Below are 25,260 nucleotides of genomic sequence, written 5' to 3' on the forward strand. Positions count from 1 at the left end.
CAAAACAATCTGAATTCATCAAGGACAGCCTTTTCTTTTCATTCTTTGCTTTTACTGTGAGCTGAATTTCTCTTTCTAAGGAATTTAAGATTACTTAGCAATATGTTTCTAATTCCAAGGTGCGCTAAAGTGATTCCATGTGATTTCTTGTTTCCCAGGTAATACTGGTAGATACAACCAAATTATCTAATTACAGAAAGTGTGTATTATGCAAATTTAGCATAGAATTAGGAATTTTAAAAACATAAGAATGGAGATAAACAAGAAATCATTTTTAGTATTTTATCATTTTTTATTTAGTAAAGATAAAATTTACAGTAAGGAATTTTAAAAATTATTGCCTCATGTAAAATAATTGGAAAGTATATATAATAAAGTCATTTGGGGACTAATGCTGGGAATATTTTAATCTCTTAAACTGGGTATTATTTCGGTTGTGAATTTCATTTTGGAACACTCTCAGTTATTAAGCACATATGATTAAGCATATATGATCTCCTTTTGGATAGATGAGTTAACTTTTACAGAGAGGCATCTTCTGATAAACACTGTATGAGTATTTATCCCTAACTGAAATTTGGTTCACATGATAGAATAAATAAAGTCTGAGAACAAAAATTAAGTGACAGCTTCAAAATGGTGACTATTGTCCAAGCTTCATCACACACCTTGGACTTGAATGTCTGGTAAAAATGAAACTTGAGAAATGTTAAAATTGTTCAATTACATTGGAAAACTTCAAGATTACCTTGCTTTGTAAGTTTCTTTTTAAGGACCCATGCGAAGAGTCTTCAACTCAGTAGCAAACAACATGTTGTAGCCTGGAAGCCAATTCTAAAGTATTTAGCCTGATTGCCTCCAAATTCAGTCAGCTTATCTCCCTGTCTGACTCACTGCAATTGGGAAACTTCAGCAGGCAATTTTCTCTCACAGGACACACAGCCGTCTCCACTCACTAAGAATTCTCCAGGCTGCAAGGCCACATGAGGCCAGAATGTTCACTAATCACTGAAAGATACTGTCAGCATAATCCTAATTATTCAGCTACATCATGAAACAGAAATTTCAGTTTTCCTGGTATATGTGTGGTGGAGAACTTAGGAAATTAGAACCTTGGACTATAAGAAATTCATTAATTCAGTCAGTGTTTAAATCTCTTCTGCCTCCTACCCACTATGTAGTTATCTAGAGTCGACTTTTACCTCAATCTTAACATTTGGCAGAGGAATGGGGAAAAACAAACACATTGTTTCCCACATAGATATACCAAAAAAGTAATTTACAGGAACAGCTATCATTCGTAGATGCTTATTCTGGGCCAGACACAGGGCCTGGGCACTTTGATTTTATTACTTTATCCCTCACAATTTTGAGAAAGTTGGGTAGTCCTCACTCACATGTCCGGTAGTTAACTGTTTGGTTTAGAGGGGCCTCAGCTGGAGTGGTTTATATCCACCCCACATGCCCATCCTCCAATAGGTCTCACCAGGCTTCTTCACACGCCAGTTTGAGGGTTCCAGAGAGCTTAAACTCCAGTGCATAAGCCCTTTCTAAGCCTTTGATTGTGTCACATTTGGTAAGGGCCCACTGGCTAAAACAAGCTGCATGGCCAAGAGTAAGTATGAGAGAGATTAGTCAAGAGAATGGATACAGGAAGTCATGAATAAATTGGGCCATTACTGCAACAGTAAACAACAACATGATAGAATTTCTGGAAAATAAATAAATAATATCTTTGGAAAACTCAAGATATTGAAGCAGAGATTTGCTAGGAAATGAAGTATCAAAAGGCCACACATAAAGATGCTTGTTCATACTGCAACCAGTGGGAAGTACTGGAAATTTTTCAAATTCTAAAAGTTAGAAAGGAACCCGTTAATCTATATGCTAGCCATCTCTAAGTGCAATGCATAACTAAATATCAGAAAATGATGTTATGCTATACAAGTTTTTATCAACTGAATTCCCAATTCTATATAAAATTTTTCCTTTTTCATTCTTAGCCTTTTCTTTCCTTCGTCATTCATCTTTTCTTTCCATGTAGAGTTCGTAAGAAAGCAATCTGATCGAATTCTTTTTTTCTCCTGTTTCTCTTTGTTCCCTATGCAATTGGTTTGATTATAAGTAGGAAATACCGTTTGTCTTTACAACTTATATCTTATTTTAAAATAAGACCAAATAAACAGCCATTTTATAGATGTGACTTCTTGTGATGACTCCTTAAAAATTTTAAAGGCTAACTAGTGTGGCTAATGGACACATACCCCAAATCAGCTCTCAGCTGCTAAACTGTTCTTATAATATTAATGCTTCTCTGGTTTCCACAATTTATTCTCATTACTATTTTGATTCTCTCTCATTTTTTCTTATCATTTACTCCTTTGAACTAATCAAATATTAGCAAATGTTTCAGAGCTTATGAATGTAAAAATTGAAGTCACTATTTCCTGCCCCCCTCTTAAATCTGGAAAGATAATCTTATACTGGAATGGTTCAGATAACAGAAGAAATATGTAGGTGGGGAGGAACAAGATGCAACATCACTTTCTTCTTTGTCTTTGTGGTTGCAAAGAGGAGGCCTAGAAAACTGGGAACTGGGCCTTCCCATGCCCTGTATGACCTGTTGTCAGGGCAACAGGATGTGTGGGGAGCCCTGGCCTTTCTAGTGCCTGTTGCCAGGGTAACAGGATATGAACCATCTTCTTTTATGCAACTATGCAGTTTCCCTGCTTTACTCTATACTTCTCTTCTATTTGGTGGGAAATTACATTTGTTCACAGAAATCTAAGAGCAATACAAGTTCAGTACACAGCTGCTGAAGGAGCATGCACTGGAAGAAATATTTTATGTGGACACATGCCATTGATAGTGTTGCTGGTGAAAATAATATGTAGATGAATTTTATTAGACTATCTTTCTAAAAAGAGAGACCTCAATGTTTATTTTCGTAAGCTCTAAAATATTTACTAATTGGCTATTAGTTCAAAGAAATAAATGACAGTAGATGATGAGAAAGTAGTAACCACAGTAATAGGTAGAAAAAAAAAACTTTAGAAACCAGAGACTTATGTGAAAAATTCAGAAGCTAAGAGATCATTGTGGGTGCATATCAACTAGCTTTTGTTGTGCAACAAAACACCGACAACTTAGTGGACAACAATAATAAACATTTATTGTTTTCTCACAATTTTGAGAAAGTTGGGTAGTCCTCACTCACATGTCCGGTAGTTAACTGTTTGGTTTAGAGGGGCCTCAGCTGGAGTGGTTTATATCTACCCTACATGCCCATCCTCCAATAGGTCTCACCAGGCTTCTTCACACGCCAGTTTGAGGGTTCCAGAGAGCTTAAACTCCAGTGCATAAGCCCTTTCTAAGCCTTTGATTGTGTCACATTTGGTAAGGGCCCACTGGCTAAAACAAGGTGTATGGCCAAGAGTAAGTATGAGAGAGATTAGTCAAGAGAATGGATACAGGAAATCATGAATAAATTGGGCCATTACTGCAACAGCAAACAACAATATGATAGAATTTCTGGAAAATAAATAAATCATATCTTTGGAAAACTCAAGATATTGAAGCAGAGATTTGCTAGGAAATGAAGTATTGAACAGCCACACATAAAGATGCTTGTTCATACTGCAACCAGTGGGAAGTACTGGAAATTTTTCAAGTTCTAAAAGTTAGAAAGGAACCCATTAATCCATATACTAGCCATCTCTAAGTGCAATCTAAGAATGCTTGAAAAAAATACTGTGTAGTTTAAGTTCTGTTTGGGAAGTAAGGCAGAATAAACTATATTAAGATTATTTTTCTGAAATAAACAGAAGAAAGACTACTCATTTGACTTCAGGGAAGAGCATTCTTATGTGCTTAAGTTTTGTTATAACAAGAATAGAGTAGTAGCTTAAGCAAAAATAAAGTACCTAGATTTAATGGTTAGAATTCTTTTTTTTTTTTTAAGGATAAAAATTTTATGATTATCTCAATAGATTCAAAAAAATCATTCAACAAAATTCAACATTCTTTTATGATTTAAAATTCTCAATAAATTACTAACATAAGGCATATACCTTAATATAGTAAAGGCCATATACAACAAATCGATAGCTAACATTATAATCAACGGTGAAAAGCCTAAAACATTCCATCAAAGACCACCAACAAAACAAAGGTGCCCACTTTCACCACTTCTGTTCAACATAGTACTGGAAGTCTTAGCCAGACTAACCAGATAAGAAAAAGAAATAAAAGATATTCATGTGAAAAACAAAAAAAAAAGGTAAAAGTGGTTTACAAATGAAAGGTGAGTTAGGTCGGAAAAACTGGCATGTGGAGTAATTCATTTATGTTTTCTAAGCAAAAGTTCTCTACGTGGATATTTAGGAATGACATTACTGACTTTGTTTATTTGCTGTAAACACTGAATAACAGAATACCTAAGGAGCCACAAATAAACATCAACAAGTAAAAAAGAAAACTAGCATAGCATTTTTAACACAGAGTATAAACACCAAGATTCAGAAGTGAGATATTTTCCGGGGTATCAAAGCCATTTGTAAATTTCTTTTTTTTTTTATTTTTTTTTTATTTTTATTTTTTAAAGCTTGTTGATTATTTTTATTTTATTTTATTTTATTTTATTTTTTATTTTTTTTTTAATTATACTTTAAGTTTTAGGGTACATGTGCACATTGTGCAGGTTAGTTACATACGTATACATGTGCCATGCTGGTGCACTGCACCCACTAACTCGTCATCTAGCATTAGGTATATCTCCCGATGCTATCCCTCCCCCCTACCCCCAGCCCACAACAGTCCCCAGAGTGTGATATTCCCCTTCCTGTGTCCATGTGATCTCATTGTTCAATTCCCACCTATGAGTGAGAATATGTGGTGTTAGAATTCTTGAATTTATTTTCATTGGTTAAAAAAAAATCTTCTGAAATGGGCACCCAGACATTACTGTGCAGGGTTTTCTTGGTTGTTTGGTGTACCAAAGGCCAAATAAGTTACAGTGATTTCGCAAAGGTCCAAGCTCTAAGGAGGTAAAAGAGTTTAGAAAACATCAAATTCTCTTGTAGCTATTAGCTAGAATCATTGTTTAAATAAATTAATTTAAAAGGTAATGGTAGCACATGTCCTAGAGAAGAGAAACAAAATTGGGGAGTTTCTGACATCCAAACCATACGCCACATGATAACTCCATTTGGTATTCAGCTTTGAGTACGCAAAACTAGACAAACAGATGGCAGGACTGTGGAAAAAATCAAAACAAGAGAACAGCTTTTAATTCCTGAAATGTCAGGTTTTATACTGAGCCTTGCGTATTAAGTAGAATTATCTAAGTCAGTGTTCAGTGGAATAAGTATGGGCCTCAGAATTTGGCCCTCCCCTTACTAAATGTGAAATAGTGGCCAAGTGGTTTAATATCCTGGAGGTTCAATTTTCTCATCCGAAAGACTGGAGATAATTGTACTGAGCCATACAGATAAAAAGTAAAATCTTTCAGAAAGTAACAGGCAGAAAACAATTATAAAGTATGATTACTACTATGATTCAATTTTGAGGTGATTTTTAAACAATTTAAGGTAACCAGAAATGTAGTTGATACCAAAGTTGTTCAGCTTTGTCTTATCTTGCTCCAAATACAGCTTATTTTGAACCAACTCTTAGAAAGTCCAGTTTTAAATGGACCAGAATTAGTACATTATTGTTTTTCTAATAAGTTCATTTTTATTTTCTTTTAAATTTATCTACAACTTGTTTTAAAAGAATCCCTTGAACATCCATACTTATGCAGAGTTTAGTTAATGTTGACCTCAGGTTTCTTCTCCTGGAGACTCTGGTGCTTAGAGATTTTACTATTTTTTTCATGACTCATTATAAACATATTTGAATAACTATAAATATCAAAAATTTGCCTATCAAAAATTATCTGCATGACTGAGCTTTTTGTCGGCCTATTTAGTAAAAGTCCACGTTTTTAAATATTTTATAAAATATAAAATAAAATTTGATCTTTTTAAAAAGCTTCAAGAAAGTATAGCTGAAAGGAGAAACCAACCAAAGGGTCATGTTTCATATATATGCTTCTAATGAGCTATCATCATTGTTATGCCTTCCTTAACTATAGTCATTCATGCCTAAAACTTGCTCAGACTGGATATGTGGAATAGTGTGATTCTCATGAGACTTTAACGCTATCATCTGTTTAATAATGTTAATTAAGACTTTCTTTCATATCCAAAAGGCCTACTATAGCATAGTCCTTTACCAGATGATAATCAAACTTGCTCACATATTACATTTGACTAGCTAATTGAAATATGTTAAATGACAAAATCTGATAACGTAATGGAAATACAGCATTTTCTAAAATGAGTCAGCAAGGGGATGGACATGGGACATGATAGCAATTACCTAGAAGTCAAGTCTGTTGTGAACCAGGCTCAGGTTATAATAAGAAAAGGCCTAAAGAATAATTTTCAAGCCAGAGTGACTCAGGAAAATAAGTCTAGCCCTGAGATAAACATGATTATAGAGACCTAAAATCCACTATAAGGCTACCTCAAGATGTTGACTTAAAGATGCCCTCAAGACAATTCTTCTATCAGTGAAACTCTCAAAGCCCACTTCTCCTCAGCTCTCTCTCCTTATATACCCTAGTTCCTGCTCCAGGGAAACACAAATCCTTATGTATAATGATTCTGGTGAAGAGAAACCTGGGGAGTGAGAATACTTCCATTGAGCTAAAAGAAAGTTGTCTTTCTGCATCTTGACAACCCTACTCTGTGCATTGATTCTGATAAGAAAAGTACATGAAAATATATAGAATTGTGTTTCTGCATTTAATATTAGCAATAATAATGACTGACAAAAGCTAGGAATTCTTGAATTCTGGATACTTTTCTAAATAATTTGTGTGTCAACTTAATTAATTCTCTCAACACCGATGAGATACGTGATGATATTATTTCCATTTACAGATAAGAAAATTGAGGAATTGAAAAATCAATCAAGAGGGAAAGAGTCAAGATGGTCAACTAGATGTAGCCAGGAAAACCTTCTCTCACCAAGAGACCAGACCATCAAAAAGACCGGCACGCTCCAAGCAGATCTTCAGAAGGGCATTGAGAGTGGACAGAGGAAACAGACCCTGAGCTGAAGAGAAAGGAGGCTGCGAATGCTGTATGGGATTGCCAAGCACCAGGACTCATTCCTGGACCAGAGGAGCTCCTGGGGCCAGGGTGAGTAAAATAGGTGGGGAGTGGCCCACTCTCACCACAGACCTCCAGAATCCTAGCTGCAGGAGACCCCATGACACATACTGACTTTTGAGCTGGCAGGGAGAGCTTCTTACAGAGTTGATAGGGGTGGGACTTAAGCCTGCACAGAGCCTGAAGGGTTTAGTGTGGGAACAGCTATAGTGGAGCACAGCCAGGGATGCCCATCTCCCAAGGCCTGCCATGCTATGCTAACAGGCTTTGGCTTGTGTTGACTCAAATCTAGACAGAACAGGGCTATTTTCCCCATGAGACAGAGCCAATCTGATCTGGGAGCCCCCCTGTTTGCCAGCCTCTCCCCAGAGTCCTTGCTTGGACACACCCATTTGCAGTGCAAGCACAGATACTGAACTGGGGTGCTTCCCAGTGGACACTACCACAGCTCCTTCACCAACAGACCCTGTCTGACCATCAGAGAGCTTCTGCAGATGGGCCCCTGCCAGTGCACACCCATCTGCCGCTTCCCCTACCACCTTGCCAACACATGTTCACAAATGTGTCCTGCAGCTGCCCAACATACATGCGTGGACCACACTGCCCCACCACCACCAGTGCACAGGCAGATCCCACCACTGCTGCTGCCAGTGCATGTGTGCAAACCTCCTCACACCACCATCCCATTGTCACTGGTGAATGTGCACACAGAGCCCACCACCTCACCACTACCCTACCGCCACTATCGCACATGTGCACATGCAAACCCCACTGCTACAACCTCAATAAAGTCCTTTTTCCAGCACCTTTCTCCCCATCAGAATGTTGTTGCCAGTGAACTGGAAACACCTCAGCCCCTCCAGTGCAGCAGGTGCTTAACCTCAAGGGGCCATAAAACAAAGTCATGGGCCTGGTCCCAGGCCCCAGTATTAGAGCATGCAGCCCAGGAGTGCTGAGCTGAGACTTGGCCCCCTGAAATAATCCAAAAACAAAGCCAGTCAACTCAACCCAACTTATACCACAGTCAAACCCTCAAGTGCATGAAAGAATATAAAAGCAAAAAGCCCCATCCAAAGGACAGCAACTTCAAAGATTAAAGAAACATCAGCTTACACAGATAAGAAAGAAACAATGCAAGAACTCTGGCAACTCACAAATCTAGTGTCTTTTACCTCCAAATGACCATAACAGCTACCCAGCAATGTTTTTTTACCAGACGAAATAGTTGAAATGACAGACACAGAGTTCAGAATCTGGATGGCATGGAAAATTATTGCAATTCAAGAGAAACTTGAAACCCAATTCAAGGAATCTAAGAAATCTATTAAAATGATTCAAGAGCTGAGAGACAAAATAGCAATTTTAAGAAAGAAACAAACTGTTCTGATAGAGCTGAAAAACTCACTACAAGAATATCATAATACGATCACAAGTATTAATAGCAGAATAGACCAAGCTGAGGAAAGAATCTCACAGCTCAAAGTCCGATTCCTTGAATCAACTCAGTGAGACAAAAATAATGAAAAAACAATTTCAAAATGAACAAAATCTCTGAGAAATATGAGATTATTTAGAAACCAAACCCATAACTCAATGGCATCCCTGAAAGAGAGGGAGAGAGAGCAAGCAACTTGGAAAACATATTTGAGAATATTGCTCACAAAATTTTTCCCAACCTCACTAGAGAGGTTGACATTCAAATTCAGGAAATCAGAAAACCCCTGTGAGATACTATACAAGATGACCATCCCTAAGACACATGGGCATCAGATTCTCAAAGGTCAATGTAAAAGAAAAAATATTAAAGGCAGCTAGAGAGAAGGGCAGGCTGCCTACAGAGAGAACTCCCTTAGGCTAATAGCAGACCTTTCAACAAAAACTCTACAAGCCAGAAGAGACTGGGGGCCTATATTCAGCATCCTTACAGGAAAAACATTCCAACCAAGAATTTCATATCCAGCCAAACTAAGCTTCATAAAACAAGGAAAAATAAAATCATTTTCAGACAAGCAAATGCTAAGGGAATTTGTTACCACCATACCTGCTTTACAAGAGGTCCTTAAGGGAGTGCTAAACATAGCAACAAAAAACTGTTACCAGCCACCACAAAAGTACACTTAAGTACATAGACCATTGACACTATAAAGCTTGTACACAATCAAGTCTATACAACAACCAGCTAACAACATGTCAGGATCAAATCTTCACATATCGATGTTAACCTTGGACGTAAACAGGCTAAACGCCCCACTTAAAAAGCACGAAGTGGCAAGTTGGATAAAGAAGCAAGGCCCAACCTGTATGCTGTCTTCAAGAGACTCATCTCACATGTGATGACAACCATAGGCTCAAAGTAAAGGGATGGAGTAAGATCTATCAAGCAAACAGAAAACAAAAAAGAGCAGAGACTGCTATTCTAATTCAGACAAAACAGAAATTAAGCCAACAATGATCAAAAAGGACAAAGAAGGGCATTACATAATGATAAATGTTTCAATTCAGTAAGAAGACTTAACTTTTCTAAATATATGCACCCAACACTGGAGCATCCAGATTCATAAAACAAGTGCTTAGAGACCTACAAAAAGACTTAGATAACCATACAATAATAGTGTAAGACTGCAACACCCCACAGCATTTCTATACACCAGTAACATCCAAGCTGAGAGCCAAATCAGGGACGCAATCCCATTCACAATAGCCACAGAAAGAATAAAATACCTAGAAATACTACTAACCAGGGAAGTAAAAGATTTCTACAACAAGAATTACAAAACACTGCTTAAAGAAATCAGAGATGACACAAATAAATGGAAAAACATTCCATGCTCATGGGTAGGAAGAATCAACATTGCTAAAATATCCATACTGCCCAAAGCAATTTACAGATTCAATGTTATTCCTATCAAACTACCAATGAAATTTTTCACAGAATTAGAAAACACTATTTTAAAATTTATATTGAATCAAAAAAGAGCATGAACAGTCAAAGCAATCCTAAGCAAGAAGAACAAAGCCAGAGGCAGCACACTACCCAGCTTCAAACTATAGTACAAAGCTATAACCAAAACAGCATGGCACTGGTACAAAAACGGACACATAGACCCATGGAACAGAATAGAGAACCCCAAAATAAAGTTATAACCATCTGATCTCCAACAAAGTCAACGATAACAAACAATGAAGAAAGGACTCCCTATTCAATAAACCATGCTGAGATAACTGGCTAGTCATATGCAGAATATTTAAACTGGACACCTTCTTTTCACCATATACAAAAATCAACTCGAGATTGATTAAAGACTTAAATGTAAAGCCTAACCTATAAAATCCCTAAAAGAAAACCTAGAAAATACCACTCTGGAAATAGACCCTGGCAAAGATTTCATGAGGAAGACTCCAAAAGCAATTGCAACAAAAACACAAATAGACAAGTGGAACCTAATTAAACTAAAGAGCTTCTGCACAGCAAAAGAAACTATCAACAGAATCAACAGAAAGTTTATTTTGTTCTATAGTTCTGCAGTTTTGAAGGTTAAGTTGAATTCACAGGAATTCTGGTTTATTTAGCCACACACCCAAACCATGTTCTTCCATGCAAGTTTAATCTGCAATAAAGCTGATATTTTGATTTTCATCTACGGGACTCCTAAACCTATCTCTCTCTTAATTCTGAACTTGGGCAGGAATTATGGGTATCATTCATTAGCACTTCCTCTCACCCTAGCATCTTATGAGGTAGGTATCAGTTTTGTCCATGTCTCAGCTGAAAAATAACCTAAAAGAAGTCATCCCTGAATATCCAAAATACTTTCCCAAAGGTGCATTTTATTCTGGTCACTTCTTACTGCATATTAACTTGCTTTTTATAATTTACTTTTTTGTTGTTTGTCTCCTCTACAGGAACAGTAGCTTCTGTGTCTAACATTGTACCTGACACAGTATACAATCAGAGTATATTTATTGAATGAGTAAATGAATGATCAATTCAATTAATGGATTTTACAAATAAGAAAAGTGAAGTTTAGGTAAATTAATAACTTTTCCATGGACACTCAGCTAAAAAGCAGGTAGTATTGTAATATTAGAAAATATCTGATTAGAGTTCAATTTCTAAGCCACCTAATCTGTAAGGTATTCCACCTTAATAATGTTAGTTCTATAAACTATAACATAATGTTATGTAGGACTGAATATTAAGACTACGTCTACACATCAAAATGAGTTTTGATGAAGTGGTTTTCTTCAAAACAAATTATGATTATGATTAAAAGACAGATTTTTAATAACTGATTTGCCTGATTAATCCATCAAAACAGTCACATACTGAACAACATACAGACTTATCAACAATTTCCAAGAAAGATCACATTCTCTTTTGACATTTGAAATGAATCCAGTAAATACCCTCCATCTCAGAGTTTGGTGAGGAAACTGGTGTTTTGGGCATGCAAGTCAGGGTTAGATGGAGGTACAGTGAGTTAATGGCTAAGAATAAAGAGTATCTGAATCCAATGTGCCATAGAGTGAGGCAGGGCTTCACCACTAGGGATTGTGCGTGTGTGTGTGTTTCTGTGTGTGTGTGTGTGTGTGTGTGTGTGTGTGTGTGTGTGTGTGTGTGTTGGGTGAGGACAGGAATGGTCATGTTGATGTGTTCTTCTGGTATAGAAGGCATGTATTAGATTTTTATTGCTACTGTAACAAATTTACCACAAACTCAGTGGCTTGAAATAAATGAATTATCTTCAGTTCTGTAGCTCAGAAATCTGGTGCAAATTTCACTGAGTTCTAGTATCAGCAGGACTGTATTCTTTCCAGAAGCTCTAGGCACATTCTGTTTTATTATCTTTTCAAGTTTCTAGAGGTTGCCCTTGGCTCGTGGCCCACTTTCACCATCTTCAATAGTAGCACAGACGAGTTAAGTCCTTGTCACTCACTCCTACTTTTTCTTCTGCCTCTCTCTTCCACTTTTCGAGCCTTTGTGATTGGCCAGGCATGGTGGCTCACACCTGCAATCCTAGCACTTTGGGAGGCTGAGGTCAGCGAATCACTTGAGCCCAGGCATTCAAGACCAGCCTGAGCAACATGGCAAAAACCCATCTCTACTAGATCTATAAAAAAATTAGCCAGGTGTGGTGGCACATGCCTGTAGTTCTTGCTACCTGGGAGGCTGAGGTGGGAGGATCACCTGAGCCTGGGAGGTCAAGGCTGCAGTGAGCAGAGATCGCACCACTGCACCAGAGTGAGATCCTATCTGAAAAAGAAAGAAAGAGAGAAAGAGAGAAAGAAGGGAAGGAGGGAAGGAGGGAAGGGAGGAAGGGAGGAAGGAAGGAAGGAAGGAAGGAAGGAAGGAAGGAAGGAAAAAGAGAGAAAGAAAGAAAAAGAAAGAAAGAAAGAAAGAAAAAGAAAGAAAGAGAGAAAGGAAGGAAGGAAAGGAAGGGAAGGAAGGAAGGGAGGGAGGGAGGGAGGGAGGGAGGGAGGGAGGAAGATGAATCTTTGTGATTACATTAGGCTCACCTGGGTAATACAGGATACGCTCCCTATTTTAAAGTCAGCTGATTAGCAATTTTAACTCCATCTGCTCCTTTAATTCTCCCTTTCAAATGAAGTAACATATCCTTTGGTTCAGGGGATTAAGACGTGGACATTTCTGGAGGGTGATAAGTCTGCCTACCCCAAGCCTGGGAATTGAGTTTTAAGGAGAACCATTGTAGATCCTTTTCTGGTGTCTTCTGAGACTGTCATCTTTTCTGTATTGGATGCAAGATAAATATAATGTTAGAGCTAGGTATATCTATGTTTAAACCCATGTTCTACCAGATACTAGCTGCATAACTACTTAAGAGACTTATGTTTTTAAGAACACTGGTGGGGAGTAAGAATACAAATATGTTATATCTGCACAATTCTAACAATATGATGATAAAGATGATAAAGCAAACACCCTTCCATCTTCTCCATGTTTATTCCAGCTGTGAATCTATCTCCAATCCTCCCACCTGGTTTTAGTCACTATTTTCGCAGCCTGGCTGATCTAATTTTCTAGTTACAGCCAGTATAAGATTCAGAATTTTATTCATTCATTGACTTAAAATATTAATTGCATTATCTCCTATGTGCTAAGTACTGTGCTATGTGCTGGAATCCAAGAGCAAATCCAATGAAGTGAGCATAGCTCTTGCACTCAAAAGCTGTGGTTGAATAGGGAAGGTGGATTTTGTTACGAGAAGAGAAATACAGGTTATTTATGAGCTGAAAATAAAAAACTAATCTAGTCTGGAAGGTCAGGAAGAATTTCCTTTGCAAGTGAAATTTAAGCAGCAATCTTTGCACATTTTTAACAGGATATCTATCAGAATTTTGAGTGGGACAACTCCTCCTGATAAGGAAATGCCCTGAGCTCTGCAGGACATTTAGCCTACCCGGACCCTGCTGCCCACTAAATGCAGAAACACCTTGCCATCACTGCAACCACCAGAAACTTCCCTACGCAACTCCAAAAGCTTCGTATAGAACAAGAGCAAACCTGGCTGAAAGGAAAACGGAGGAACAGTTGCCTCCAGAAGAGAGAACAAAATGAGCACAGGAAAAGGGGTGGTAAGCAATGTTTCTTTTGGGTGACCCTAGGTCTGAATAGGAGGCATGTCACAGAAGGAGAGGCATTAGAGGAGAATCCAAAGATCAAGCTGGTATACAGTGACCCTGTGAAGGATGCAAAGCTTTAAAGGTGTTTAAGCAGAGAGTAAAAGGATCAAATTTGTGTCTTATCTATAATGCACCTTCATCCTAAAGTATGGTTCCAATTTGGGAATATGATGCTAATAGCTCCTGTCACTTCCATGTTTTTTTTGCTAATTTTTATTTTAAATGTATATTTCTGCTACATCCTCTTGGTGATAAGGGCCTGGACAACTCCATCTGAGAACTACACAACATACTGCCCTCTTCAACAATAACAGTTGCTTAGAATTAAAAGATTACCATCTAATTCTTCTCTCCTTCACTTTTTGCTTCTAAACATTTTGTCCTTCACTATTGATAGTCATGTTCACTACCCTACCAATCACAGAGAAAAAAAAGACAACGAAGCTTAACTTAATGTCTTTCAAGCATTGCATTCACAATTCCAAGTCTTAAAATTAATATCTGGACATTCGTCGGGATGGGGGAGATAAGGAGGTATGTGTCGAGACGTGTAAAATTAGCGATCAGATATAAAGTTAGCTTCTAACTGAAATTGTGATAGATTCTAGTACTATGTTTATAAAAACTGAAGGAACTGGGGCAGTAAGTACTATGAAGTGGTGAGTATTACATTTTTGTCAGTAGTTTATGGTTTCTGGCAGTTCATACTTTCTTCTCTTCTCTTGAATGCCTGAGTAAGATAATACTTTGTTTTAGATTTTTCCCTATAATTTCATGTCGTTTTCACTGAATTTTCTACCTGAAAAATGCTCATTTTCAGTTTTCTGAAAATGCTGTCACCTCTTAGATTGAATTCTTATAGCAATGTCACTAACTGGAAAGAGCAACACCAGTGTTTTTTAAATGTTTAATTTTTTAATAAAATCCACAGGTGTGGAACTCTTTGTATGTTTAGAGAAAAAAAAAGCAACAGTACATGACACAAAAAGGCATTTATCTTTCAAATGGAAAAGAAACACAATGCATAGGTGAAATACTGTAAAATCTTCAAACCAACTTTCCACATGGAAATCAATGAAATTGACAATCTTTGAAAGACTATCAATAGCTATGTTTTCTTAGTATGTAGGAAGAAGTCTAGGTCCCAAATTCATAAGAAACTTCTGAATCAGAAATTTCATTTGGTGTTGAGATGGCATAAGAAATAGGAAGTGTTTTCCAGCCCTAAACGATTGATAACTTATGGCCAAGTATATAATTCTTTTTAAATCTAATTTATGAAAGACCTGATGCCATAGTTATTTGCCCATATTTCCACCATCATAGATGATGACTTGTAGTGTAGAATCTAAATTGTTGTACTGAGTAACAAATTAGTGGTTGAATATGGAAAAAGATAAATAAAAAGATTGTAATATAAGAAGAAAATTAATAGACTAATGCAGAGAAGTCTACATCAGAATGGGAGTAAGAAACTGTTTCACCTTTCTTGTCACAAAAGAAAAAGAGATTTCTTGGCACATAACTTTATATGGTGTCTCAAATATTATATGAAGACAATTTAGAAGAAGCTCAATAAAAGAAAACAAAAATGGTAGACAGCATTGATATTTTAATTTAGTTACCAATGTTTTCCACGTGTTCCAAAATTTAAAAATTATTTCTATGGACTCAAAAGACTCTCTAAAATGTTATGTCATATAACAATCCCTATAAGATATTTTCTCTAAATATCTACCTGTAATGGTTCATGATTTCTACATTTAAGGCATAATTGAATAAACATTATTTTACTTTCACCTTTGTCTCTATTTTTATTTAACCTTAAAATTTACATACTGGAAGCTCAATTAAAAACAGTATATTATGCCAAAATAAGTCAATATATTTATAAAGTACAAGATTTTAAAAATCACTTTCTAAACAAATATCTAAAGGTCTTTAGTCTATTTTAGCAAAAATAAGAAAACTATTGCACAATTGTTTGATAGGTTTAATGAGTAGCATGATTTTAATTGCCAAAACTTAAGTGTAGAATTCTAGTACCAGCAATTTTGATAAGCTAAAATTCTGTTTGAATCAATATTGCATTTTAAATAGACAAGACAATATCAGCAATGGAATAGGGAGTCCCTCATATCACTGCTCTGAATGCAAACTATACAAAAGACCATAATTAAACAATTTGGTTGTCATTAGTCATGCAGATTTTAGATTTAGAGTTTCTCGCTTTGACAATTCTAAGCCTTGAACACTGAAAATGTACTAAGTCAAAGTACAAGTTAAAGTGATAGTACCAAAATGCAATTTCTTCTTTATTCAATGAAAAAGCAGTCATTTTAGTCAGTTAGATAATGATTTTTAAAAGAAAGAAAGAAAGAAACTTGGTTAATGATTATTTAGTGGCTCTAAATAAACACAACTCAAAATTAATTTTGCATGTACATATTTTCATATATCCTTCTATCAATTCATGAAGATCTACTGTTGGATGACTCTATCACCCTTTTCTGAAATAAAATGACAGATTGATCTCTGAGACCAACTGATACAGTGAGTCAGTAACTTTGCCCTAAAGTATCAAATAAACACAAAATCACTTTTCAAATTTCTTAAAGACATATGCATAAATCCACCAGCATACATCTTCATACATTCAAGTAACTACAGGAAACTAGAAAAATGCAAACAAAACAAAATAAGCAAAACATCCTTCTAAGGAGAAGAAAATCTAAAATAGGTTGTAATGAGAGACATAATTTTCCCGGTACTGATGTTCATCCACTCATTAGGCTAAAACACAAATCATCTGCTGACTGCTAATGTTTAATTTGCATCTATGCTAATTAATTTTGAGAGCTGTTATTTGCTTTGATAGGATTACTTGTTCCGCTAGAGAACAACCTCACCAAAAAGCTGTAATTTCTAAATCTTCAATGGATCTTAGAAACAGATTTCTAGCTCATCCAAATAATGTAAAGATGGCTTCCTTTTTGAAAGTTATTCTCTGCTATATGTTCTTTGCATTATTGTGCTCTTACACTAATGCACTGTAAAGCCATGTATTACTTCAAGAAGTAAGAAAATATACAAAGAACAATATTTAAATACACAAACATCATTAAATACAATCAAATGGAGGAAAGCAGAAGGAATTTTTACCTCTAAACAAAGTTTGATGTAATTTTCTTTAAAAAAATATCAAACAGGGACATCAAATTTACTCAGGTACTGAATTTTTAAAAATAGTGTGTAAATACAGCATTAGAGATATAAATCTTAGAAAATCTCTATTTTGCATAGTGTAGGATTCTTTCAGCTGTTATTATAGAAAAGCAAATATATTAATATTTTCATTTGAGATCTGCAAATATACTAAGCAATTACAACGGCCTGTAAAATTCATATTCATATTTCTCATTTTTATCCAAATGTTAAATCTGATTTTTAAATTATGACAATTAAGATAAAGCATACAAACAGTGTGGTGCTGAAACACTAAACAGGAACTAGTAGCACACACAGCTAAAAAAAATGTAAGGGTGTAAATATCAAGCTGAATAGCATTGCAATTAACGTCTGACTTAGGTAATTACATCCCATGTTTGACATAATGCATAATTCTTGACCCATTTTACTAAGGGCTATTATGTACTATGGACTATTCTGTACTCTCAGGAGAAGTGAACTGTGAACTGGTTAATTTAAAGCCAAAACTCTCCAATAAGTTTGATATGCTGTTAATATTTTTATCACGTAAACATTTTTTCTTATAGAAATATCATTTAAGCAAAAAGAAGCACAATAAAGTATAATTATTTATTATCATATTAATCATCTCATTGCTTTTCCAAATCTAATCACAGAGAAAGAAGTATCAGTCTTATTTCTCTCTCTGCTTACCTGAGGGAAATTTTATTTGTGGCAGTATCCCGGCAAATGGCTTTCTTAGTTACCTTTCTGCATATCTGAACCACATATCTAAACAGCACATACAGAATGCGTAAAAGAAACCATGTAATATGACAGTAAAGTGACTTCTCCAGAAGTTACCTTACTTTAATAACATGTGCAAGTACAAAAAATCATTCGTCTTTCAACAAGTTGTTAGCTGAGGTAGGCACATTTTATTTTTCGAGAGAAAATCTTTCTAAAGGAAACTAGCCCACAAAGGCGGATAGCACCAACAATTAGTCACGTTAATAGTCAAATCTTTTGGGGGGAAATAAAAAGCAAAGAGCATACTCACATTCCTTTCAGGCGCTGCCACATTTTTTCAGTCTGTTCTCCTGTAAGATACTTAAAAGTGGTGTTTTCCAATTCTTCAATCTCTGTGGCACTAGACCCCATGATGATGCTCCTAAGACAATACAGTTACAGTCAGTTTCAGCAGCTAGAACAAGCATTCCTCAGTCCATTACAAATCTTACACACTTATACAGTAGCCTCTCTTATCTATCAAAACAGTGCTGATGTACAAAGCTGAGGGAAGACTCTGACAGATTTGCTATTGACTTTGACAGGCATATATCCACTGCTCACCACCTCACCACCCCCCTAAGCAGACAGCAGTATAAACAGATGCTCTGACCTCACAAGAACAATCCGTACATGTGAGCCTGCTACTGTACTACTGACCGACTGAGTACTCAAGCTCTCCCCAAAAGCAGCTCATCTGTTACTGTTCTGTGCACTGAAGCACATCAGAATTCCTACAGTTTACGAGCTCTATTATGCACAAGAGAAACGTGAATGACTTTCGCGCTCCAGAAGAAGCTGAATTCCTCTCTACCAACAGAACAAGGGCAGGATGTAATAAGGAAACAGATGGTAGGAGCCAGTATCAGCAGCACCACCATGAGAAAAAAAAGTGCCTGTTTAAATGCCAAGGTTTTTTTCTCTAAATTGATCTGAAACTAACACTTAAAAATGTATCATCATCTAACAATAAATGCAACAAATATTAATGATAACAAAGAGAAAATAACATCTAAAGCCATACAGAAGAACACAGCTCCACAGGTTGTTATTGCAAGAATATGTACATCAACTGATGCTGTAAGCATGCTTATTCACCTTCTCCTAGCAACTCCACACAGTAGGTAACTGCCAATTTAACCAGTGGAAAATACGGCAGCTGCACACAGCCTGCTCTATGAATCCTTTGGGGATTAAAAAATAAATAAAATGAAACTAGTGTAAATGCACTTGTGTGTGTGTGTGTTTTTTGAAGGAAAAGGGAATAGATTTGTGTGTGTGTGTTTATGAGAGAGAGAAGGAGAAAGGGAGAGAGGGACAAGAGAGAAACTGATGGTTTGCGGCTTGTGCATTTTAGAAGAGAAATGAGAGAGAGTGGACATAAAAGGAATCAGAACTGAGTCGTCTGCCAAGCTCCTAACACATGGCGAGCTTTCTTTGAAACAAGCACAGACCTTAAGTATGAGCACCATAACAGCTCTTGCTATCTGCAAGCTGCTATAGAAAATATACTTATAAACAATATTTCTTCTTGTTTGTTTGAAAACCCAGATGTAGTTTTATTTCTTCTTGCAAGAAAACTTGCCTGTTACTATGAGTTTTAAGGTAGAGACATTCAAAGATTGGTAATAACATCCAATATTTGTTGAATATTTCTGATGTTTCAGACAATGTTCTCAGTACCTATTACATATTACCTTTTTAAATTCTTACAAGATGCCTGTGAGATAGGCAATACTCCTGTTCAACAGTTGAGAAAACTGAGAAACAGAGACATTCTCCAGATTTAAAGCTAATTCTTAAAAATGGGAACTATTATTAACAATTAGTCTTCCAATGTAAAATTACTATGTCTATACAAATGACACTGATGCTATCTAGTAGTCAGTTATAATGTGTACGTAAAAAGGACCTTTGCAAAATGTTATAGAAAATGGCTTCTGATTTGCAAATTATAAGAGGGTAAATCAAGTGAGGCTTCCATTTTCCTTTCTCAGACAAGATATTTCCAGAATTCAATCTGAATGTAATGTCTTTAGCTAGCAGACAGCTTTGTGAAATTAAAACTTCATTCCTATAAGCATTTACCAGAGTTGTCAGAAATAAGTGAATCTTTGCCCTGAAAGTACCAATTTTACCCTCACTGTGCCTTCATTTGTAATCTTAGCTATATTCATGTAATAAACTGTTACCTGATATTTCTTTAATGAAACAGTCAACAAACATCTATGTTCTGCTTTCAAAGAAATATTGCAGCCAAAAATCTCCATAGATAGCAAGTACTCTATAATTATTATTTTATGAATCAAGATACCTAAGTCCTTGAGGCTATACAGATGATTTTCTAAATATGACATGAAATGTCAAGACCTCACATTGACCAGCTTACCAATAACATTGCAAAGTAAATAAAGAATGAGAACTATTCTACTTAAGTATATGTCTAAGAATCTTGTTTCAATACTACAATTCATTTGCCCTTTGCTTTCACTATGTAACTTCTATCACACATTGATATTTAAGACCTCAAGGTATACTAATTCGGTCACTTACTAGAAAAAAATCCTTAATCATTTCATTAAATGTTTCATAAAATAAAATTTTGAATAATAAACTAGATAAAATAGCTTATTATTTAAATCCTTGACCAAGATAATCTTCATCCTTAGGAAGTATCAAAAAGTTACTTCTGTTAACATAGAGAATTCAAATCATTTTTCTTTGTTAGTTTACAAAAAAATTCAATATAAGTTCTGCAAGGGAAAATTGAGAAAATAGTCATAAAAATACAGTAAAAAATGATCCAATTTGTATGTCCCTCATTTCTCATAGTTTCCATTTATTTTGCTTTAACTCTACAGTCAGGTAAATTATCTCTATTAGAACAAGTAGTTCCTTCATTCCTGTTTACCTAATATTTTATTAGGAATGGTGACAAAAATGTATAGAATGAATTTAGTATCTACTATTGCCAAAATGTAATATAACATATACTCTAAATCTAGACTACCTGGGTTTGAATCCTTATTCTTTCACTGAAAGAATTATGTGATTTTTTACAAGTTACAATTTTTGTCTGTTTCTTCATGTATAAAATGAGCATAATAATAACATCTCCTCATAGTGTTCATGCACTGAATGAGTTAATACAAGTAAAGAAATTAAAACAGTTATCTGGCACATAATAATTGCTTAATAATTATTAGTTCTTATTATTATTGATAATATTACTTGATTTTTTTCCTTTTCATTATAGTGTAATTATTCAATAGATTTTAGTGACAATTATTTCCCAAATCATTTGTAATCATTGTTTTTATGCATTGCTGGTGTTCCTTTTGTTTAGAAACTACATCCTTATTTATAAGCAAAATTGTTCTAAGTATTTGTGTCACTAGGTTTATTGGTTTTCGTATTAAGGTTATATTGGCTGATGTAGTTTGGATCTGTGCCCACTCAAATCTCATGTTAAAATATAAGCCCCAGTTCTAGAGGTGGGGCCTGGTGGGAGGTGATTGGATCATGGGGGTGATTTCTAGTGGTTTAGCACCATCCTCCTGCTGTGGTCATGTAAGATGTGCCTGCTTCTCCTTCACCTTCCGCCAAGATTGAAAGTTTCCTGAGGCCTCCCCAGAAGCAGCTATGCTTCCTTTACAGCCTGCAGAACCATGAGCCAATTAAACCTCTTTTCTTTATAAGTTACCCAGTCTCAGATATTTCTTTATAGCAATGTAAGAATGACTAATACATTGGCACCATGTAACAAATGGTAAAGAAAATAATTTTAATTCTTTAGCCAGTAAGCCATCACTCAATGACAAAGATAAATGATGACACATTCAGAACACCAAATTCAGAAAGCATACCATTCAAATACTCGTTAAAAATAATTACATGAGTTAATATACCTGAAAAAAGAAAAAAAAGTAATTAATGAGAAAAATCAGAAACATAGCAATGGAAAATCATAAACAAAATCCCAAGTTAGCATCTGTGAAGAAGGGCTAGGAAGAAATCAATTCAGGTGAGAACAAGAAATCATAGGGATCAAAAATATGGCTTCAAGAAAAAGTGGATTAAATTCATCAAGAATATTTAAAAACAAAATACTGTTTTATTGATAATAAAAGTACATTATGTTTTCACTGACAAGAAAATAATTTAGAAAATATCTTAATTTCTGAACAATATCGCAGACTAAGGTACTCTTAAAACTTCCAGACCAAAAATAATTTTCAAATATTGGAAAAATTCCAATAAATATTATTTTGAATGCATAACTGAACCTATATAAAATGAAGTCCAAAATGAACAGGGACAAAAAAATTAGAATTGTAAGGACATTTATCAAACATAGTAATCTACAGCCTTGTATTATAATCAGTATATAGGAAACAGAAAATAAGGGTTTGGGTCTGTACAGTATGAAGACTTGAAACCAAGGTCCTCCCAGAAAGATAGAAACCATAAAAGGCTACCCATGTAGTCAATTTGTGGACAAGAAAGCGTTAAGTGTGGCCAAGAGATACCTGAAAAAATGTTCTCTCTCAGCTTAGTCTCTAGGAGAGGAAAAACAAAATAAAAGCATTCTTTGATAGATTTTAACAATGGAACTGCCATCTATGAGTTTGATTAAACTTAAACTACCAGCTTTGTCTGAGAAACAGCAAAACTTAAAATGATCTTGGGTTAGTGGCATCCAAGGTTACCTAGAATAAGGAAAGCAAATTTCTTTGGAGGAATGAATCCTGAAACACACCTCTTAAAATTCTTACAGATAAATCTAGTCAAATATGAGCTTACAATTCAAAATTATAAAACACATAGTTAATCAAGTCATCACTAGTAAGAGTCACTAGACAAAAACTAATAGAACCACACCCTCATTTGTTTATGAATATCTGTTGCTATGTTTCTGATTTTTCTCATTAGTTACTTTTTTTTCTTTTTTCAGGTATTGTAATTACCTAATAAGTTATAACAATGTTTAAATTTTAAATAAATAGAAAAAATTATTGGTCAAAACATGACCAATAAAAGATATTCTATTTTTTTAAAGGACCATTCAGGAAAAGGAAGTAAAAAGAATTTTTTTAATTAAAAAAGAACCATTGAAATTACATATTCAATGTACAAGGTAAGAACAGAAAGAGAATTAGCTAATAAGAAAAATATGAAGAGGCTGGGAGCCATGAGTCATGCCCATAAACCCAGCACTTTGGGAGGCCAAAGCAGGCAGATCACTTCAGCTCAGCAGTTCAAGATTAGCCTGGACAATATGGTGAAACCCTTTCTCTATAAAAAAAAAAAAAAAAAAAAAAAAATATATATATATATATATATATATATATATATATATATATATATATACACATATATATATACACACATATATATACACAAAAAAGCCAGGCATGGTAGTGTGTGCCTGTAGTCCCTGCTACTTGGGGGGCTGAGGTGGGAGGATCACTTGAGCCCAGGAAGTTGAGGCTGCAGTGAGCCTTGTTCATGCCACTGCACTCCAGCATGGGTGACAGAGAGACCCCATGTCAAAAAAAGAAAAAAAGAAAAGAAAAATCTGAAGAAATTGCCCAAAATGTACAGATAGACACAGAAGTGAGATTATGAAAAAATAACTTAGACGTCAAGAAAGACAAAAAAAGTTCCTAATGTACATGTCTAATATGGTTTGGCTGTGTTCCCATCCAAATCTCATTTTGAATTGTAGCTCCCATAATTCCCATGTGTTGTGGGAGGAACCTGGTGGGAGATAATTGAATCATAGGGGTGGTTTCCCTTACACTGTTTTTGTTGTAGTGAATAAGTCTCATGAGATCTCATAGTTTTGTAAGCCTTTTGCTTGGCTCTCATTCTCTCGTCTGCCACCATGTAAGATGTGACTTTCGCCTTCCACCACGATTGTAAGGCCTCCCCAGCCATGTGGAACTGTGAGTCCATTAAACCGCTTTTTCTTTATAAATTACCCAGTCTCAGGTATGTCTTCATCAGCAGCATGAAAATGGACTAATACAGTAAATTGGTACCAGTAGAGTGGGGCACTGCTGTAAAGATACTCAAAAAGTGAAAGCAACTTTGGAACTGGGTAACAAGCAGAGGTTGGAACAATTTGGAGAGCTCAGAAGAAGACAGGAAAAGGTGGGAAAGTTTGGAACTTTCTAGAGACTTGTTAAATGGCTTTGACCAAAATGCTGATAGTGATATGAACAATGAAATCCAGGCTGAGGTGGTCTCAAATAGAGATGAGGAACTTGTTCGGAACTGCAGTAAAGGTGACTCTTGCTATGTTTTAGCAAAGAGACTGGTGGCACTTTGCCCCTGCCCTAGAGATTTGTGGAATTTGGAAATTGAGGGAGATGAGGTAGGGTATTTAACAGAAGAAATGCCTAAGCAGCAAAGCAGTCAAGAAGTGACTTGGGTACTGTTAAAAGCATTCAGTTTTAAAAGGGAAACAGAGCATAAAAGTTTGGAATATTTGCAGCCTGAGGATGTGATAGAAAGGAAAAGCACATTTTCTGAGAAGAAACTCAAGCCGGCTACAGAAATTTGCATAAGTAATGAGGAGCCAAATGATAATCACCAAGACAATGGGGGAAATGCCTCCACAGTATGTCAGAGACCTTTGTGGCAGCCCCTCCCATCACAAGCCTGGAGGTCTAGGAGGAAAAATGTTTTTGTGGGCCAGGCCCAAGGCTCCCGTGCTGTGTACAGCCTAGGGATTTCGTGCCCTGTATCCCAGCCAGTCCAGCCATGGCTAAAAGGGGCCAAGGTACAGCTCAGGCCATGGCTTCAGAGGGTGCAAGCCCCAAGCCTTGGCAGCTTCCAGGTGGTGTTGAGCCTACAAGTGCACAGAAATCAAGAATTGAGGTTTGGGAACCTTCACCTAGATTTCAGAGGATGTATGGAAATATCTGGATGTCCAAACAGAAGTTTGCTGCTGGGGTGGGGCCCTCATGGAGAACCTCTGCTTGGGCAGTATGGAAGGGAAATGTGGGGTTGAAGCCTCCACACAGAGTCCCCACTTGGATACTACCTAGTGGAGCTGTGAGAAGAGGGCCACCGTCCTCCAGACCCCAGAATAGCAGATCTACAAACAGCTTGCACCGTGCACGTGGATAGGTACCACAGACTCTCAATGCCAGTGCATGAAAGCAGCTGGGAGGGAGGCTATAACCTGCAGAGCCACAGGGGCAGAGCTGCCAAAGACCATGGGAACCTACCTTTTGCATCAATATGACCTGTATGTGAGACATGGAGTCAAAGGAGATCATTTTGGAGCTTTAAGATTTGACTGTCCCACTGGATTTCGAACTTGATAGGGCCTGTAGCCCTTTTGTTTTGGCCAATTTCTCCCATTTGGAACAGTTATATTTACCCAATGCCCATACCCCCATCATATCTA

At 36.2% G+C, this 25,260-nt stretch overlaps 1 protein-coding gene across 17 annotated transcripts in view; it reads right to left on the reverse strand.

Annotated features, from left to right (window-relative positions):
- The window catches only part of PDE1A (phosphodiesterase 1A), a 576,757-nt gene that overhangs the window by 364,124 nt on the left and 187,373 nt on the right, over window positions 1-25,260 (reverse strand). For 6 of the 17 annotated variants that reach the window (XR_007076388.1, NM_005019.7, NM_001395263.1 and 3 more), the window contains exon 1: window positions 18,112-18,362. Coding sequence is in view for 15 of the 17 variants with exons in the window: in NM_005019.7 (NP_005010.2) it covers window positions 18,112-18,212 (101 nt within the window). In the remaining 2 variants the exon portion in view is untranslated. The other 11 variants (NM_001395261.2, NM_001395265.2, NM_001395262.1 and 8 more) reach the window with 6 other exon arrangements.

This window comes from Homo sapiens, chromosome 2 (assembly GCF_000001405.40).
Source record: "Homo sapiens chromosome 2, GRCh38.p14 Primary Assembly".
Lineage (NCBI taxonomy): Eukaryota > Metazoa > Chordata > Mammalia > Primates > Hominidae > Homo > Homo sapiens.